The sequence below is a fragment of the Homo sapiens genome, chromosome 13 (genome assembly GCF_000001405.40).
Source record: "Homo sapiens chromosome 13, GRCh38.p14 Primary Assembly".
Classification (NCBI taxonomy): Eukaryota; Metazoa; Chordata; class Mammalia; order Primates; family Hominidae; genus Homo; species Homo sapiens.
This window is the reverse complement of record NC_000013.11, coordinates 105,732,033-105,752,792: the sequence shown is the minus strand read 5'-3', so window position 1 is coordinate 105,752,792 and position 20,760 is coordinate 105,732,033. Positions and strand designations below refer to the sequence as shown.

General features: G+C 37.3%; 1 long non-coding RNA gene across 1 annotated transcript in view; it reads right to left on the bottom strand.

The window, feature by feature from the left end:
• Window positions 1-20,760, bottom strand: part of LINC00343 (long intergenic non-protein coding RNA 343) — a 54,967-nt gene that overhangs the window by 9,004 nt on the left and 25,203 nt on the right. The window lies entirely within an intron of this gene.

The window sequence follows — 20,760 nt, the reverse complement described above, 5'->3', positions numbered from 1 at the left end:
TATATTGCATGTATTAAATACTGCACTCTTACAATGGAGAAAAGAAAATTGCATTAAGAAAATCATGAGGAAGAGAAAATATATTTAATATTTATTACATGGAAGTAGATCATCATAAAGGTATTCATCCTTGTGGTCTTCATGTTGGGTAGGCTGAAGAGGAGGAAGAAGAGAAGGGGTTGGTTTTGTTATCTCAGGGGTGGCAGTTCATCTGTGAGGTTTTTTCAAATTATTGCAAATCTCCAAAACTTTTCCAATACACCTACTGAAAAAAATTTACATGTAAGTAGACCCACACCATTCAAACTCATGCTGTTCAAGGATCAACTGCCCTGTAGTTTAACAAAATATTTCATTTGTTTTCTCTTTTTTAAATAAAGCTTGAAAACTATTACCCTACAATTTGATGTAAAAGTCAAAGAAAATAATCTAATGAAAACTAAATTCAATTAAATTTAACTTTAAAGAAATAGAGTATTTGCTGTCAGATTTAAGGAGTAGAGTAACTTAGAATTAAACTAGACAGTAGCAGGGTCTTAGGGCAGTAACATCAAACTAAAAAACAAAGTTTCTGAAGGATAGCATTTTGGGCAAATAAAACATTTGGTCTGTTCAATTCCCTTTAAATTAGACTCATTCGTGATACATCTGATTGCTCTGAACATTTCAGTTAACGGAGCATGAGAGGAGCAAGGCTATTTCTTTTTGACCAGTAACCAAAGCTTCTTTGGGAATCCCTCCGAGAGGCTTCACTCATCTACGAGGCCTTGGGGAAAGTCAGGAGTGTGCAGCTTTCAGAAGCTGTGACCTTGAAAGAGCCCAGAAAAGGGGGCAGGAGAAGCAACTTATTGGAAGCAAAACAAGCAGAAGAACAAAAACTAAACTAACAAAATTGCATGCCAGATCTATTCACTCTTTTGAAAGTTTAGAACTTTAGCTGGTATGATACATTTGCTTCAAATTCCTGTTTTCCTTAGAGTTAGAATTTTCCTTTTGTGTGTGTGTTCACTGAACACAGGCCTCCTCCATCCCAGGAATCTGAATAATCAACTGCAAAGACACTTAATTATTTTCCAAATTGTAGGACACTCTAGCCAGGTAGTTCTGCTGTAGATCACTTTCTGTTGCTGCAACCCAACAGTAACAGCAGGGAAATACGTGCTGAGGGTTTTGTAGAAGAAGCAGTAGACAAATTAAGACTGGATTTTGAACCGTAATGTCAATTCAAAGACTTCAGTTTCGAACACAGACTAAGCAATTCTGATGCTTCCTAATGGCCTGAGCTCCTGACTTTAGAGTTCTTCGAACGTTGGCTGGGTTCTTCCATTAGGTTGGAATTGGAGGAACCCTGAGGTTTCCAGCAACCAGTAAAGGGGTTTGAAAAAAATACCTAGAAACTGCAAAAATTATAGATCTACAATCAAATATTCACATCAAGTGTATTTAGGTGGAATCAGAAACGTATTTTTAAGACTTCTTCAGGTGACTCTGATGTTTAATATAGAAATCTTCCCATGATTAAGTGTCTATGGAGATTATTGTATTAGTCTGTTCTCACGCTGCTATGAGGAAACACCCGAGACTGGGTAATTTTTAAAGGAAAGAGGTTTAATTGACTCACAGTTTTGCAGGACTGGGGAGGCCTCAGGGAACTTACAATCATGGCAGAAGGGGAAGCAACCACATCCTTCTTCACTTGGCAGCAGGAAGGAGAAGTGCAGAGTGAAGGAGAAAAAAGACCCTTATAAAACCGTCAGATCTTGTGAGAACTCACTCACTATCATGATAACAGCTTGGTGGGACCACTTCCTTGCTGTAATCACCTCCCATGAAGTCCCTCCCACAACACATGGATATTACAATTCAAATTACTATTCAAGATGGGATTTGGGTGAGAACACAGAGCCAGACCATAATAAAGATTATATATAACCTGTCTATATTTTGTATATAACCCATATATCTTTTTCTCCGAAATATATATACATGTGTCATCAATATATAATCTATCATATGCTAAATCTCTATCTATATTTCTATCTAATCAATGCCATATATCTTTCTTTAGCTTTTCTTTACAAAGGTGGCACTTCTCATTTCCTCAGGCTACCTATGATGAATTTAGCACAGAAGATATGCAAAGACAGAACTAATTTTTGCTCTTATGAGAAGGTTTGGAATAATAATTATATTCTCCTGCAGAAGTTATTACTACGCACTTACTATGGCCATAGGATAGGTTTGATGAAATTGCAACTCTGATGAAGTTACATTTCATGATAGACTGCAGTAAGCCTTAAAAAGATATTCTCCACTTTTACCTTCTATTCTCACATATTCAACCCAAAGTTAACCCTCAAAACTGGGAAAAGCTTTATGGCAACAACAGAGGTCCCTATAGAAGTGGAATGTCACCCATCTGGGGGCCAGCCTGCCAAGGTTGGCTGCAGAAACACCTTTCCTCATATCCACATAAATCACTGGCCCTTCTGGTGGTCCCAGGTGTCCCTCTGAGGAAATATCTGCCTAGTCTTTTATTTGACTTCAGGAATATGGCCTTCCCTCATTTCGTTGGCTGAGAATCTAATGTCTAAACCATATATTCTGAGATCCCTATTGGTCTTGTTTTTGAACTCTCTTGTTCTTAGTCTTTCATTAAAGGTTGACCTAGCACCACTGATTTTGCAACCAAGCTTTATGATATTCTGCTTCCTTTCTGAATCTATACATCCTAAAATATTCACTCAATTATTTACAGTTCTGCCATCTAGCTACCTGAAACGCACATGCCCTCGTCACTAATCATACCTCTTTCCTTTGGAGCACACATGCATTGTATTAGCACCTTGAACAACCCACTTCAAGTTGTCTTCTCCTAATTTAAGACTCATGATACCTGATTCCTTCTATGCCTTTGAGGATGTGCTATTCTTACCACCTTTTCCACTCATGAAAATTTTTCTCTTGTTCACACCAGTCTTTTTGTTGTTGTTCAAACTATTAACTCTTAGCTCAGGGCTGTAAGAAAACTCCTGCCACAGACTATTTGATTAGTGAAACAAGCACACTCTATACTCTGTTTTCTTAGTTTCCTTTTTTATCCCTGTATTTCTCAATATTATTTGACCTTGAAGCTGCCATTCTGCCTGCAGATTATTTCTAAGTTGCTGACACCATTATATGCGATCAAAACAGACAAGGTGAAATAGCTTAGCCCCAGTCATGATTCGTATTATGCCTGTTGTTCTTCACATAGCCATGAATAAGCCTACTTACATAGTTGATGCATGTTAGTATCTATTTGACATTACTAGTAAATCAATCATGTCACATGTATTTATTAAAATAGCATTAATTGTACCCACTCTGTCCCATAATCTACCTTCAAACAAGACACTTTTCCCTGCCCAATACAATAGGGAGACAAGGATTAGCAAACCTAAAATAACAGAGTATTGTAATATTTAATGTAAAACAAATATTCATGAAATAATGGGCGATAAACTAAAATTGCAATCAAATTTAGTGGACAAGACAATCTAGGAAGACCAAAGGATTCAAGGAAAGCTATATGGACAAGTGAGAAATAAAACCAGGGTTTTTTTTGCAGATTTTTTTTGATATCTTGTAATTTGGTAGAGGGATTGTTATGATAGGTGCAAATCTTTGTTTTGTGTTTTTCCTAGAGTTGCTGTACTCCTCTTGCACAGCCTTGCTACCATTATCCCAAGGCAGCTGTCCTTAGCATTTCCATGATATCTGACCTTAGAAAAACTCTGGGGGCATGGGAATATCACGGGCAAGTGGCCTTGAGAGTCTCTCCCTTGGGACATTTTTGATCTTCCTGATCCTTTTTTAATTTAATAATAAGGCACATAAAAACTACCTGGGCATTTGTTAACATCAAGATCCCCATCACAACCACAAATATTCTAATATTTTGGGTTTTGGTTGAAATCTCCAAATCAGTACTTTTAATTCTGATACTGAGGGTCTATGGCTCTTTGAACAAACACCGCACATTGGATAAACTTCTAATCACCATGTTCGTTCCTGGTTTGTAACATGCTTTGTTAGTGTACTTGACCTTCAAGTCTGGCCAGAAATCTCGTCATTATTATCTTTAATTGCATGTGTTAACACTACTTGCAGCAGTTTCTCCCAGGTCTTTTAAATAGAAGGATAGGACAATATTTTCTATGTGTTTCATAGACTCTGGCAACCGTGACTCTGTTGAGTGTTCTGCTCAGAACAAGGGTTCCATCTCTGAAGATGACTGGAACATAATGGAGTTAAACAAGTGAACCTGACTCTCAGCTTGTAGGTTGCCTCAGAATAAGAGTAAGAATTTGCCTAAAGCTTAAGAATCTCCAGCAGTGGCCGGGCGCGGTGGCTCACGTCTGTAATCCCAGCACTTTGGGAGGCAGAGGCGGGCGGATCATGAGGTCAGGAGATGGAGACCATCCTGGCTAACACAGTGAAACCCCGTCTCTACTAAAAAAATACAAAAAAATTAGCCTGGCCTGCTGGCGGGCGCCTGTAGTCCCAGCTACTTGGGAGGCTGAGGCAGAAGAATGGCGTGAACCCGGGAGGAGGAGCTTGCAGTGAGCCAAGATCGTGCCAATGCACTCCAGCCTGGGCGACAAAGCGAGACTCAGTCTCAATAAGTAAATAAATAAATAAATAAATAAATAAATAAATAAATAAATCTCCAGTAGGAGGTTAGTATGTATATACATCCCTTCCCCAGGTAAGCTTGGGAAATAAGAATATAAGTTTGGAAAATGACACAACTAGAATGAAGAGACTCAGACATACAAGGAACTACTGATGTTTTCTACTTTTACTGCTTTTATTTTGCATCCTTTTATCTAAAACAAATCATCAGTGCTATTGAAAAAAAAATCACTGTGGATGCTGCTGAAACACAGCTGGTGGCAGGGGTATGGATGAAGAGCCAGACTGTAATAATTTAGGCTTTACAAGAAACCGTAGACAAAAGTAAATGAGTGAGTAACTGCTTATGAAACTTTATTATAGTACCACCCGCAAGTCTTTAGACCGTAGTTTGCTGACCTCTTGTCTAGAGTTGGACAGCCAACATCCTGAGAAAACTGCTATATTCTAACTTATTCCCCATATATTTTATTCCTCCCTAGAATAAAAATAGGGAATAAACTCACTTTTAAAATCATATATTTATTAAAAACATGCTACAGAAAGTTCATTTATTCATTCATTCTTCAACACTTTATTGAACATCAACCGTATGCTGGGTGCATGGACCTTTTGTCCCTCGTCTGATTCTGGCTAGTTTCTTTTTTTATTATACTTTAAGTTCTGAGATACATGCGCAGAACTTGCAGGTTTGTTACATAGGTGTACATGTGTGATGGTGGTTTGCTGCACCCATCAACCCGTCATCTACATTAGGTATTTCTCCTAATGCTATCCCTACCCTAGCCCCCCACCCCGGGACAGGCCCCAGTGTGTGATGTTCCCCTCCCTGTATCAATGTGTTCTCATTGTTCAACTCCCACTTATGAGTGAGAGCATGTGGTATTTGATTTTCTGTTCCCATGTTAGTTTGCTGAGAATGATGGTTTCCAGCTTCATCCATGTCCCTGCAAAGGACATAAACTCATCCTTTTTTTTTTTTTTTTTTTGAGACAGTCTCACTTTGTTGCCCAGGCTGGAGTGCAGTGGTGCCATCTCGGCTCACTGCAACCTCTGCCTCTCAGGTTCAAGCTATTCTCATGCCTCAGCCTCCTGAGTAGCTGAAACTACAGGCATGTGCCACCATGCCCAGCTAATTTTTGTAGTTTTAGTAGAGACGGGGTTTCACCATATTGGTCAGGATGGTGTCGCTCTCCTGACCTCATGATCTGCCCACCTCGGCTTCCCAAAGTGCCGGGATTATAGGCATGAGCCACTGTGCCCCGCCAAACTCATCCTTTTTTATGGCTGCATAGTATTCCATGGTGTATATTTGCCACATTTTCTTTATCCAGTCTATCACTGATGGGCATTAGGGTTGGTTCCAAGTCTTTGCCATTGTGAACAGTGATGCAATAAACATACGTGTGCATGTGTCTTTATAGTAGAATGATTTATAATCCTTTGGGCATAAACCCAGTAATGGGAATGCTGGGTCAAATGCTATTTCTGGTTCTAGATCCTTGAGGAATCACCACACTGTCTTCCACAATGGTTGAACTAATTTACACTTCCACCAACAGTGTAAAAGTGTTCCTATTTCTCTACATCATCTCCAGCGTCTGTTGTTTCCTGACTTTTTAATGATCGCCATCCTAACTGACATGAGATGGTACCTCACTGTGGTTTTGATTTGCATTTCTCTAATGACCAGTGATGATGAGCTTTTTTTTCATATGTTTGTTGGTCGCATAAATGTCTTCTTTTGAGAAGTGTCTGTTCATATCCTTTGCCCACTTTCTGGCTATCTTCTTACTAATTGTGAGAACCTAGTTAACATCTTTGAGTGTTAGCTTGGGATGATGACAGATAAATTAAAAGGAGATTTGTATGAGGGATTTTAGCAGTGGCTACACTGTCATCTCACCTTCGGTTTGTAGTGAGTTCCCAGTTCTTTGTGAGCTTGAACATATGAAACAGATGACTTTTAAACTAAATGAATACCTTTATGCTTATCAATGGCCTTTCTGTTTTGTTCCATTTTAACCAGTAGTTTTGGGGGCTTTTCCATTGTTACCTACATAACTATATCACTAAGATTGTAAAGAAGAAACTGCCAGATTCTTCCTAATATCATTTATAACACCTTATAGAGGGCATAGCCCAAATTAGACCTTCAACAAATATTTGAGGAATGGATTAATGTTTATTGTTTTAATCTATTGGGATGATATCAAATTCAAGGTCTCTGAAGCAAAATGTGATCAATAGCCTACTTTGATAAGCATAACACATGTTCTCATTTCTTAATTGGTGTGTTTATTTTCATAGTTTTAAAAATCTTGTTCATTTTGCAAAATATGTGGTGAGAAAAATGGCTATGATATATGATCTTGACAGAGCAAGGATAGACCTAAATGATATATTGATTTTTCGTTAAATTTCTAGTAAAGCAGACAAAATACATTCGCTATCATTAACTACTCATAGAAAAATGAGAACTGAAAAGGTGAAAATGGGACATATTAAGAAATTTGATGATTTGGAAGATATGTAATAGTTGATTCCATTTCAGTATAGAAAACTTCTATGCCTCTCTCTTATAATGCTTGTTGTGGAAATGTTCTTATATGATACAGAACAGATTGTATTTTGGTTTTTTAGAGTTGATCAATTGGACAAGCAATTTATTTTCTGAAAATGAAGTAAAATCTATTTAAACCTTAATGAACATAAAGCCCAATCTTTACATTCTACCTGAGGTAGATATACACACATTTTTAAAAATGAATCATTAAAGTGGAATGTATAACATAGAAGTAATCTTTGTTGATATAGAAAAATAAGTAGATTGATGATCACATTCTGTTGGATTGATGATCACATTCTGTTGAATGAGCACATTCATAAACACTCTGATGCTCAGGTTCTCTCATTATTTTTCTTGCAGGAGATGGATGTCAAACCAATCTTCCACAAATCTCACCTGAGGTTAGGTTTAAGCAGGATTCATTCTTTGTAAAGTGAACAGTTTTTGATGGGTTGTAAAGAGCCTTAATTTCCTTTTTAGATTTCCAGAAGTAATTGGCAGAAATAACACATTCTTCTCATAATTATATTTATATCTCTGTAGTTCCTAAACGGTATTTATTATATTTCCTTCTCAGGAGGGATTTTTTTTCTTCCCTAAATACACTCGAACAATAGGTCAAAAGCTAGGAACAATTAAAAAACCCCATTTGATATAATTTCCTACAACAATGCTTCCCTTTCCACATCTTTTTCATCGTTTTTACCAATGATGATGGAAGAAAAGTGGAGTACCATTTCCTGTGGCTTCTTCATTAACTGCCTCACACTAAAATTAAGGGCAATAGTACTGTTGTCTACACTGACCTCTGGAATAAAGTTCAATGTGGACATAACTCTTTTAAAACCATTTTTTTAAAGTTTACTGTACTTTATTATTATTATTATTATACTTTAAGTTTTAGGGTACATGTGCACAATGTGCAGGTTAGTTACATATGTATACATGTGCCATGCTGGTGTGCTGCACCCATTAACTCGTCATTTAGCATTAGGTATATGCCCTAATGCTATCCCTCCCCACTTCCCCCGAACCCACAACAGTTCCCAGAGTGTGATGTTCCCCTTCCTGTGTCCATGTGTTCTCATTGTTCAATTCCCATCTATGAGTGAGAACATGCGGTGTTTGGTTTTTTGTCCTTGCGATAGTTTACTGAGAATGATGATTTCCAATTACATCCATGTCCCTACAAAGGACATGAACTCATCATTTTTTATGGCTGCATAGTATTCCATGGTGTATATGTGCCACATTTTCTTAATCCAGTCTATCATTGTTGGACATTTGGGTTGGTTCCAAGTCTTTGCTATTGTGAATAGTGCCACAATAAACATATGTGTGCATGTGTCTTTCTAGCAGCATGATTTATAGTCCTTTGGGCATATAGCCAGTAATGGGATGGCTGGGTCAAATGGTATTTCTAGTTCTAGATCCCTGAGGAATCGCCACACTGACTTCCACAATAGTTGAACTAGTTTACAGTCCCACCAACAGTGTAAAAGTGTTCCTATTTCTCCACATCCTCTCCAGCACCTGTTGTTTCCTGACTTTTTAATGATTGCCATTCTAACTGGTGTGAGATGGTATCTCATTGTGGTTTTGATTTGCATTTCTCTGATGGCCAGTGATGATGAGCATGTTTTCATGTGTCTTTTGGCTGCATAAATGTCTTCTTTTGAAAAGTGTCTGTTCATATCCTTTGCCCACTTTTTGATGGGGTTGTTTATTTTTTTCTTGTAAATTTGTTTGAGTTCATTGTAGATTCTGGATATTAGCCCTTTGTCAGATGAGTAGGTTGCGAAAATTTTCTCCCATTTTGTAGGTTGCCTGTTCACTCTGATGGTAGTTTCTTTTGCTGTGCAGAAGCTCTTTAGTTTAATTAGTTTCTTTCTTTCATTGTTTCAAAATGCACACATTCCCCAAAGTATTTCCAGAATTTGAGTGTCTGTCTCTTCATATGTGAGTTGTCCTACTGAAGGGCTCCAGGTAGTAGGAGCTCTGATGAACTCTTACACATAATATATTCAGGACAAACATCAGAGGGCAATCTGGCCAATTCATCAAAGTATACAATGTGCATATCTTTTTACCCTGCAATTCCACCTATGGAAATTTATCTTGCTGGAACATAAACATAAGTGGCAAAGATATATCTGTAAGGATGGTCATTAAAGCATTTCAATGGCAAAAGGGGGAACCATGCCAACTCTATAGCAGTAGAAGGAGGGTTAAATAAATGATGGCGTATCCAAACAACGGACTACTAGGTAGGCATTTTAAAAGTCCAGGAAAAATAGGGAAAGGAGGTCTTCATAGAACATTAAGTAGAGAAAGTAACTTAATGAGAAAACATACAGGATACAAACTAAAAATGCTCTCAGGGCCTAGTCAGGTAACATCAGGGCAGATGTGACCCAAGACAGCTATTGCCCTGCGTTCTTCTTGGCACAAGGAGAAGGCTGGGTGAACTGATCTAAACGTCCTCCCAGTGCCCACCAATTGTTGCCATGCAGGTACCAGTGCCCTATTTTGTCAGATATTTAGATTTTTCTAGAGAAGAGAAGTAGATTCAGGTATTAATGTATATTCTTGGGTGTGTGTTTAATGTTTTCATTTCATTTAAATGCTTTCAGATACAGTGTTAGCCAAGCAAAATATGTGTGTAGGCAAATCTTGGCCAGGCCACGATTTGTTACTCCTGCTGTCTAGACATTGAAAAATGTAGAAAGTTATACATCTAATCATGACACTGATAAGTTCTGCAGAGTAGGTTTGGAAATCAGATGACAAAATGGCATTGTAATTTATACACTCCTATATTGTTTGATCTTGTTTCACTGCATGTACATACATGGTATATTTTCTGTGTTCATGCTATTAAAAAATCCCATAAAGTCCCATGTTCTAAGGAGAAAAAGTAATTTTGGGTTTAGGCACCATCTCTATCTTTGTGACTTAGTCAATTTACTCCAACTTTCTATAACTCAATTTCTTCATTTGCATAAGGGGGATAAAAAGGTTTGCCTTGTGTATTAGTAAGAATTATGTAAGATGATATTTACAAGTGCTCTGTATGTAGTTCTTGCTTTGTGAGTGTTCAAACCAACCATTATTTGGTCATGCCAAGAAGCAAGTGAAGGGTGAGAAGAGACTATTTTAAATTAAGATTGTTAAAATGTTTTTCTTCATTCAGCTGGCAATGAATACCAAAATGTGTATCTACACTCAAGAAAGATTTGTCTACATTAAAGATTAAGTAGTTCCATAATTGTTTTCTTAACATAACTAGGGACTTGGGAATTATTACTAATCTTTTTATTTGCTCTTTCAGTAAATCATTTCAATTATCCTTTGCTCTTTAAGAAGTTACCCTAATTTGGCCGGGTGGGGTGGTTCATGCCTGTAATCCCAGCACTTTGGGAGGCTGAGGCGGGTGGATCATGAGGTCAGGAGATCGAGACCATCCTGTGAATGGTGAGACCCCGTCTCTACTAAAAATACAAAAAATTAGCCTGGTGTGGTGGCGGGCGCCTGTAAACCCAGCTACTCAGGAGGCTGAGGCAGGAGAATGGCATGAACCCAGGAGGTGGAGCTTGTAGTGAGCTGAGATTGCACCACTGCACTCCAGCCTGGGAGACAGAGCAAGACTCTGTCTCCAAAAAAAAAAAAGAAGTTACCGTAATTTAATACTGGGTAAAAAGCAGTGTAGTATATATCATTTAAAATGTTTAAAATTGCAGCCATGGCATTGGTAGTTTTCTGGAGGTGTGAGAGAGGCTTTCTTTATTAAAGAATCTGGTCCCCTTAAACATTTTCACGTTCAAGTGAGTTATCAAAAACAGAAAAAAAAATAAGGTTGGAAGCTTCTTAATATAAGGGAAATAACCTGATTTTGAATATAGACATTTTTTTTCCTCAGTGAAACGAAAATGCAATTTAAGAAATTAATATAATTATTTTTGTACGTAAAAATAACCCCTTAACACTACTTCCCACCTATTGCTTTAACCCAGAAAAGTCTTCCTGTGAATTTTATTTTCCATAATGACACTAATATCCATCTGAAGGAGAAGAAAAACGACAACAACAACAAAAAAGACAATATGAGTATTCCTCTTTGCAAGAAATCCAGAAGAAATTTTGAAAAACAAAGGACAATTTACACACAAACACGCACAGCCTCAAAAACAGAAACAAATACACAAAATGTAAGGCTACCTGCAATTAATCAATCAGATATTTTTAAAACATCCAGTGAAATTCTAATGGTGGGAGTTTAAATATTATGTAGCAAGATCTATCACTTTACCTCGGCCACAAGAGAATATGGACTTTTCCACACGAGAAATATTACCTGTTCATTCACACTTATTACATTTTTGTGGAAGTTGTGAAATTGCAAAAACTTGTGATATAGTGAAAAGTTTCCTTAAGTGTCCTTAGGAAATGCCTCGGCTCTCCAGATAAGCCTCCTGCAAAACAATTGCATTGGGGTGCTGTCCTGGGGGCCCACAGGGTTCCTGACTTCGGAGCCAACGCCACCGTTGCTAGGCAATTACTTATGCTGTGTCATGTCCCCTGAGAGTACCCTCCACCCTGTAGCCTTCAATCTTTCTGTCAGAAAATGAGCAAGGCTTTGAAACCAGAGCATCATGAGACTGCATTCTGAATCCACCTCTTACTGGGTTCGTGGCCTACAGAGGTGAGGACTTTACACCCTCTGACACCAAGTTCCCTGATCTAGGAAACCGGCTCATAATTCCCACCTTGTAAGGTTGTTTTAAGTGTTTAAAAAAAATACACATAAAGTCTTTGTTGTGTTGTAGCTGCTTGATAGAAAGTATTACTGTATCATTGTTGCTATAATACGTAAGAGTACATTAAGCCACATTTAATTCTTCTATTGGACAAATATTGTCATTTTAAATACTATATTAATGCAGTTTTAAATGTCAGTTGCTAAGAACGTACAGCCAAGTATGGCTATTAATATACATAGAGGCCAGGTGCTCTTGCTCACGCCTGTACTCCCAGCACTTTGGGAGGCCGAGGCAGGCGGATCACGAGGTCGAGAGTTCGAGACCATTCTGGCCAACATGGTGAAACCCTGTCTCTACTAAAAATACAAAAATTAGCTGGGTGTGGTGGCGCATGCCTGTAGTCCCAGCTACTCGGGGGGCTGAGGCAGGAGAATCCCTTGAACCCAGGGGGCAGAGGTTGCAGTGAGCCGAGATCGTGCCACCGCACTCCAGCGTGGCGACACTGTGAGACTCTGTCTCAAATATGTATATACATACACACATAGAAGAGCAGAGGTTCATTAGGTTCAGACAGTAGTTGGAAGGAGTCCAAAAAGACTAAATTGAAAGAGGTAAAGAAACTAGCGGAAAGGACTGTGAGCTCATTCCATCATCTTAAGAATGATAAAATAAAAACAACTAACAAATATTTAATCATTTTACATGAGACATAATACTAACTGCTTTGCGATATTAATTTATTTAATCATCCCAGCAAGCTTATGTTGTGATTTATATTATCATACCTATTCTACAGCTGAAATAAAAATTAGGCACCAAGAAATTCATTTATTCATGCATAATGGTGGAAATAACAGCAAGATTCTTACTCGCATGAAACTTACATCATATCTGGACATAAAGACAAACACAGAAACAACAGCAACAAAATACATATATATAATGTTTGCAGGAGGTAAGTTAATGGAGGAGAAAGAAAGTAGAATGAGGACTCAAGAGGGTGATGAGGGTGCCATAGCATCAAGGCTGGCCAATGAATGCTGCCCTGCTACTAAGGCGAAACTTGAATAAAAGCCAGAATCATAAGAGGGGACAAACTGAGCAGATGCCATAATGAAGAGCATTGTGGGCAAAGGGAAGCACATGTGCAATGACCCCAAGGTGAAGTCTGTCTGCAGAGGGCAAGAAGTTCACGTGGCTGGAGCAGAGTGAGAGAGTTTGTAGCAAAGACTGAGATCAGGTGAGAATTTAAGGCAGAGTCTTAAATTCATTGAAGGATTGGGAATTTTATTTTGAGTAAGATGATGAGCCATTGAAGGCTTTGGGGCAAAATAGACATTCAACCCAACATTAAAATGATAACAGGTTGTGTATGACATTGTAATGGTGGACACATGTCATTATCCATTTGCTAAAACCTATAGGATGTCCAGCACCAAGAGTGAACCTTAATCTAAACTATGGATTCTGGGTGATAATGATGTGACAATGATTGTAACCAATGGGCTACTCTGGCGTGAGATATTGATTGTGGGGGAGGTTGCACACGTGGGGGCAGGGGACATATGAGAACTCTCTGTTATTTCTCCTGAAATTTTCTATAAACCTAAAACTGCTTTAAATATAAAGTCTATTTAAAAGAATAATAACTGGAAGTCTTGTAGATATTAAGCCATAGGGAGAAAAATAGAATCAGAAAGACAATTTAAGAGATTATAGTAATTGTCTAGGTGAGAAATAATGTTGTCTTTTATAAGATAGCAAGTATGAAGGTTTTAAGAAGTGTTAGATTCTGGACCTATTTTGAAAATAGAACTGATGGTATATATTTTTTAATAGGTTGAATGAATTGTATAAGAGAAAGTAAGGTGTTAAGAATGGCTTCAAGGTTGTTGGCCTGAGAGTCCTAAAGACTTGAGATGCCATTTATCAAGAGAGGAGAATTGAGGAGAAAATCAGTTTTAGAGAGGTAGATGGAGTTTGGTTTTGAGCAAAAGTTTGAGACATGGCACACTTGAGAAGCAAAGGAAATTCCTGCAAGGTCACCCAGGTTTGTAAATAGCAAAGCTAAGACTAGGACCAGATAATATAAACAGAGAAACCGACTCTTACTGAAAGGTTGATTATGCCTTAGCCACCTTTCAGCAGCACTGAGTTTAAGTTTTTATGTATAAACACAATAAATGCTCAGTGGCTTCACGAGACCAAGTATTGTATGTTGGTCTCATTGACTGATCATTCCTTAATACCTAACATAGAGTCTGTCATGTATTCACAAAAACAAAAATATATTTAAAAAATTTTTTAATTCATAGATTTTTTAAAAAACCTGAAATAGAAATCTGTCAGACGTGCAAAGGTTGAGCAAGGTGTTAAGAACAGATATGGTACATTTTATTTTATATTGGAGAATTTAGACAAGTAACTAATGGCCTTTTTGTGTGATTCATTCAGAAATCTGAGAATACACTTCTTATTCAAGATAATTAAAACTTTAGTCAAGAACAACACAAAGCAAATTGTACATTTTTTGTCAATAAGTTAAAATTCTGGGTGAGTTATGAAGGATTAATAATTTGTTAGAGAAAAAAGCAACAAGTTTATAAAAGAAGAAAAATGTCTTAAGAAATAAGTCCATTCAGGAAACTATACAATAAATACTGAAACTGAGAAAATTTTTTTCCAACGAAGATAAATTTTTTTTCCAACAATGATAACAAAAAATTACTCTTTTTTTTTAAATGAATACGGCAAATACAACTAGATAAACTGACAATGTACTAGGAAAGACATAAAATGCCAATCAATGAACTCAAAATAATAATTGTCTAATGCCCTACCTGCTGGTGCTGGGCAGGTTGGCCTAGCTGGAAGGGGTTTCCCAGGGGTTTCCCATAAACTCCAGCTATGTAGCATGTGACACCCTAAATGGATTTTGCAGCTAACATACCACAGTCTGGCAAAAGTGGTTTAAGTCTCTCTGGACAGGCATAACTTCCCAAGACTCAAGTGCTGGATCATGAGCCATGAGGTTGATATCCAGAAAAATAACTGCAAGAAACCATTCAGCTGGACATGGGAAGAGGACTCTAGCAAAGATCATTCTCCACACCTAGGCTTCTACAACACGGCATTGTGTTGTGTAAAGGGGCCAGATTCAATTCATGGCACAGAGGAGAAATAGGCGTAATTCACAAACAGAATGTAATTGACCAATCATTATGAAAAAATGCTTAATGGCACTAATAACAAAAGGAAAACAAACTAGAATCTGATTCGTCATTCATTCATTCATTCCACACATGATTTTTGAATATCTTTTATGTGCACATATTGGGAATACAGCATTGAACAAAAGCGACAGATACCTCTACCATGGCAAAGCCCATGTTATTATAGGAGACAATAAAAATTACACAAATAAATAATATATTATTTGATGTTAGTATGAAATACAACAGAGGAAAAGGAAACAGGGCAGGTGTGTGGGGAAGGGCCGTTACACCTGTGGATGGCAGGTGTAGCAGTTCTAAGTAGGATGAAAGGAGAAGGCTTCCAGGAGAAAATGACATATGTTCAAAGACCTGAAATAGTGTTTTGTTGTATAATGTTGGTGAAACATACAATGGACTTGGAGCTTAGAATCTGACTGTGTTGGGGTGTACAACTCACTGCATACTGTGTTATAATTTCCTCATTTGCACATCAGGGGTAACCCCTTCAGTTGTTGAGAATTTAAGTAAGATTTCAATATTGTGTCACAGGCAGCAAGCAAGAAAGCTTAGTTTTCCTTTTTGTTAGAAAACCATTGCAGATTTTTTTGAAGGATAATGTTTAGTGCTAATAAGCACAGAGCAATATCTTGGTAAAGATAGGGCACAATTAATACAATTAAGGGAAAAATTGTGCTAGTTAGGATGTTTTCAGATCCATGCAACTGAAATTCCAACTAAACAGTAAAGAACTTTATAAATCTATGACAGGAAACCTGGAGTTAGGGTGGCCATCAGGGCTGGTTTATGTGGAGGCCAAGGTGCACCAAGGCCTGGGGTTCTCTCAGTTGCTTCTCTTGTCTGTCCTTACTGTTGCTCTTTCTGAAGACCTGGAGCAGAAGGGTGACTTGTATCCAGGAAAGACACTATTTAGGGCTATGCTCGTCAATACAATGGCCACTAGCTACAAGGCTATTTACATGCAAATTAACCAAAACTAAATAAAATTCAAAGTTCAATCTATATATTGTTTATAGAATGATAAAATTGTAATTTGTCTTATTTTTATTTTCTGCTTTTTTCTGATTTAAACTGTATTCTCTGAGAAATAACCATTAAAAAATACATACCCACACAACACACACAATACCCACAGACATCATTAAAATAATGTATTCTCAACTAATATAATACGGAAGGATTCTTCTTAATTAATATGTGAAGAAAGAATATTACATGTTGAATATTACTACAACAGAGAAAAATATAGTCACAGAATAAGATTGGAAAGAAATTTTAGATATTTTAACAGTGACACTTGGTTAGCAGTAAAATTATTAGTGATAATTCTTCCTACCTTTCCTCATTTTATTAAATGTATATTATTTCTATGCTAGAACTTTTTAAAAAGTATTTAAGAAGGAAAAAGTGTGTATTTTAGGAATACTGCCTTTTACAATTCTAGGCTCACATTCAACTGTTTCACAATTAGCCTTGTCAATTCTTCTGGCATAAAAAATTACAAACAAGGCCCTTATTTCCTTCAATATTGAACCTACAATGTCAATTTTTTTTTGTTTCTTGCATATTATAATGGTAGACTATTTGATAACTAAAGGCTTAATATCTTACAAAACTTACCCTTTTTGAATAGATTTGTGTTTTAGCAAGGAACGAAGTTACATATAAATTTGAGGTTTTGAAAGTGAGCTTCGTAGAAGCCTAGGGCTTGCTGGAAGGTCCCTGTGGGTCCTTAGAAGGGGATCAGTCAGGCCAGCTGGAGAGGGGAGGAAAGGACTTTGAGCCTCCAACCACCCACTTTCCCCTGAGCAGCTGGACTTTCCTCTGCTATCTTCTACATTTGATTGCTATGTAATTTTCTATTTAGGAAAAAGCTGTATCTCAATTATGTAGAAAGTCAGTGTTTTAAATGATAGAATGACTCTCCAGTGATCAGATTTCTATCTTGCAGAATAACTGCTGAGAGGAAGTTTGAGGGAGTGCTGTGGTTCTCTACATCTGGACTGGTATGCAGCCTGCTTCTCTGTTTGTTTGTGTACAAGCTAGACCTCCTCCTCTAGTTACTGAGTGCACTAGCGACTGTCACAAGGCAGTCTCCCTTCTGGCAGTCTGCCACCTACCTCCCAGAAGCAGGTGTAGACCATTTCCTCACATTTTGAGCTTTCCTCTATATGCACAGCTCTAAGAAACTGAAAAAATGGAAGCCTGTTGGCAGAGCTTCAAATGTGAGGAAATGGTCTACACCTGCTTCTGGGCTCTTTTTTAATGAACACATGCAGTGTTCAGCATCACAAGCATTGAGGGCTGCACAAAAAAAAGACTAAGGTGGCCGGGAGCAGTGGCTCATGCCTGTAATCCCAATGGTTTGGGAGGCCTAGGTGGGTGGATCACTTGAGGTCAGGAGTTTGAGACCAGCCTGGCCAACATAGGGAAAACCCATCTCTACTAAAAATATAAAAATTAGCCGGGCATGGTGGCACACACCTGTAATACCAGCTATTTGGGAGGCTTAGACAAGAGAATCACTTGAACCTGAGAGGTGGAGGTTACAGTGAGTGGAGATCACACCACTGCACTCCAGCCTGGGTGACAGAGTGAGACTCTGCCTCAAAAAACAGAACAAACAAACAAACAAAAAGACTAAAGCATGCCTCTCACAATGACATCACTTACATTTTATTCAGAGTAAAGGTGAAGAGTGTAGGCAGCATAAACTAAAGGGCTAGTGTATATTAGTTAAGATGTTTTAAATAAATGAAACAGAAATTCAAACCTAACTAATAAGGAATGTTTTATAAATACTTAACAAGGTTAGAGTAATCATCTGGGCTGGTTTGTTTAGAGGTTCAATAATGTACCAAGGATGTGGGATTTTTCCACTGCTCCTTGTGCAATCCTTGTTATTCGTTTCATCTGCCTGCTTGTAACACAACAATGACCTTTATCCAAGCATGATGCCATCTAGAAATATGCTTTTCAGACTCATCATCACTAGCCATACCTGGCTATTTACATTAAATTCATCAAAATTAATAAAACCAAAGTTCAGTTATCCAGTGGAATTAGTCACATTTTAAAGCTAAACAACCACATGTAGCTAGTGGCCATCATATTGGATTGCACAGATATAGACGATTTACATATTTTCAAGGAGCTGTATTGGACAGCACTGGATTTTGGCAAAAAAGGAAAAGCATGTTCCTGTGCTTCTTTCTTAAGAACCAGGACATTTCTCAGAAGCTTCTGAGAAGACCTATCTTTATGGTTCTTTTACCATTAATTTTCATCTCCATTCTGGAGCAAAACCTTGACAAGACAAGGGGATTATAGCAGGACCCATTAACTTACCGCAGACATAGGGGTAGAGCTGATATCCCCCTAGTTACATAGCTGCAATGGTGTGGCTGTGTTTCAACAACACTTTATTTATATAACCAGGCAGTGGGCCAGATTTGACCCTCTACGCATAGTTCATGGACCCCTGTTTTAATTCACAAGTCTAAAATCAGTAGTGAGAGTCATTTGGTTTATATTTTAAAGATCAATAAAAATTTTCTTCTTATGCTCCCATCTTGTTATGCATATTCAATCAGAATTCTAGGCTATGGTTTTCAATTTTAAAAGCCGGGTATATCTGAAACTCAAAGCATAAACATTTGTTAAATCATTCATGGTGTCTGGAAAGGGTATTCTGAAAGCTAATTCCTAATGATGAAAACAATAGTATATATAAGCATGATTTGAAAAGATAAACACAGAATATAAGTTATTTTAACCACTATACTTCTAAATAACTAATATCAAGAAATTGCTATCCTTTAAAGAAATATTGGCAGTGTGCTACAATGCCACCTATTAATAATATTTATATATCAACATTTTATATTATAGTTCCTATTTGTGAGTACCTAGACCAATGCTGACTTCTGAGATGGGTCAACCAATTCCTGACTATACCCACACTCATGCGTAGGTGTGTCCATGATTTTACCACATCCAAGAACTTCAGAGCTGGCCAATATCCCAAAATCCCTAAGAGAAATCAAGATCGTCTTATAGAAAAACAAGCGCTCTCCACATGTTCAGCTTCTCTAGCTCTTTTTTTTTTTGGTTTATTTTTATAGGAATGTGTATTTGTGGAGGAACTTCACAGGTATGAGGCAAGCAAAAGCTTTCATTCATTTAGGGAGAGTGATGGAAGAACTATGCAGAGAGGCAGCCACGCAGTGGCAGGAGGTGGGAAGAGGGTGCATTCAGACATTCTCTGCAAATTTTGCAGCCAAAAGAACTATTTCTTTTTTTAGAATCTTCTAAATATACAAGTAAAAAAGAATTGTGAAGCATGTATGCATCACATAACATTGCAAATCATGACATAATATAATATAATGTAGTCATCTTTTTTGTGGAGCAGAATGTGTATGCCATGTTGCTTTCCCAGAATATTTATAGATTTCCTGAGAGTGACTAATTGTTCTCCAAAATTATATTTTTAGTTGCCTTTGCTGTATCCACAGCTCTAAGAAACTGAAAAAATGGAAGCCTTTTGGCACAAGTATCAATGAACTCCCATCTGCTGTTAGTGGTTTCATTACAAAAACGTGTGTATCTCTAGAAGAATTTTTTTAGAAAGAAGCCATTTCAGCTCCATGTCAATCGATAGCTTTACAAGTAACCCATCATAGTTGATTTTATATGAGCTTAGCCCTTTCAGGAAAAAGAAATCATTCCATGAAGCAATCTTACAAAAACTGTGCTAGGATATTATATGTATGAGAAGACTCCAAGAACACAAACCCATGAACTGAAGCTAATGAATTATCTATGGATTTCAGTTCAGATTTCCCAGGTTTACTTGAGAAGATGAATATATTCAGACAAATAAATGCCATTACTATTTTTTTGTCTGCTAGCAAATGGCATTATCAACAGATTTGCCTTTATAAGATGTACACATTGCTTTACCTAGGGTAGTTGAGAAAATATTAATCGTCAGAAATACTGTAAATTCCAGTCATGTATTTATGAAATATATTGATATTGTCAGTCTCTATTTATTATAGTGTGCTACAAAGTCTAGACAAAGTAATCACACATTCTTTGTAAAGGCATGGATTGCAAAAATCACTGAATTTGCTGTAATGCTAATCCCTGGGTCTCATGCATTAATTTTTTATAGTTGATTTTACATTCCTATGAAGAAAAAATAATTAACAACACTTTTCCACCCTTCTAATTTAACTAGAATCTTGCATTTAGAATAACAAGTAATGTTTAATTTGACCATTGAGCTATGTCTTCATTTGCCCATTTCTCAATTCCAATTTAAAATGCAAATATTAAAAATTTCAAATATTTCCTCTCTAAGAACATCTCATAGTGATGCAGCTTGTGTCACTATAAAAACATCAATTTCCAAATTCTCATTCATTGCAGTTCCTCATCTAGTTGCTGAATAAAAACAGTATCTCTAACCCTGAAGTTTTATTGTCCATTAGCTTAAATTCAACCTGATTTTTAA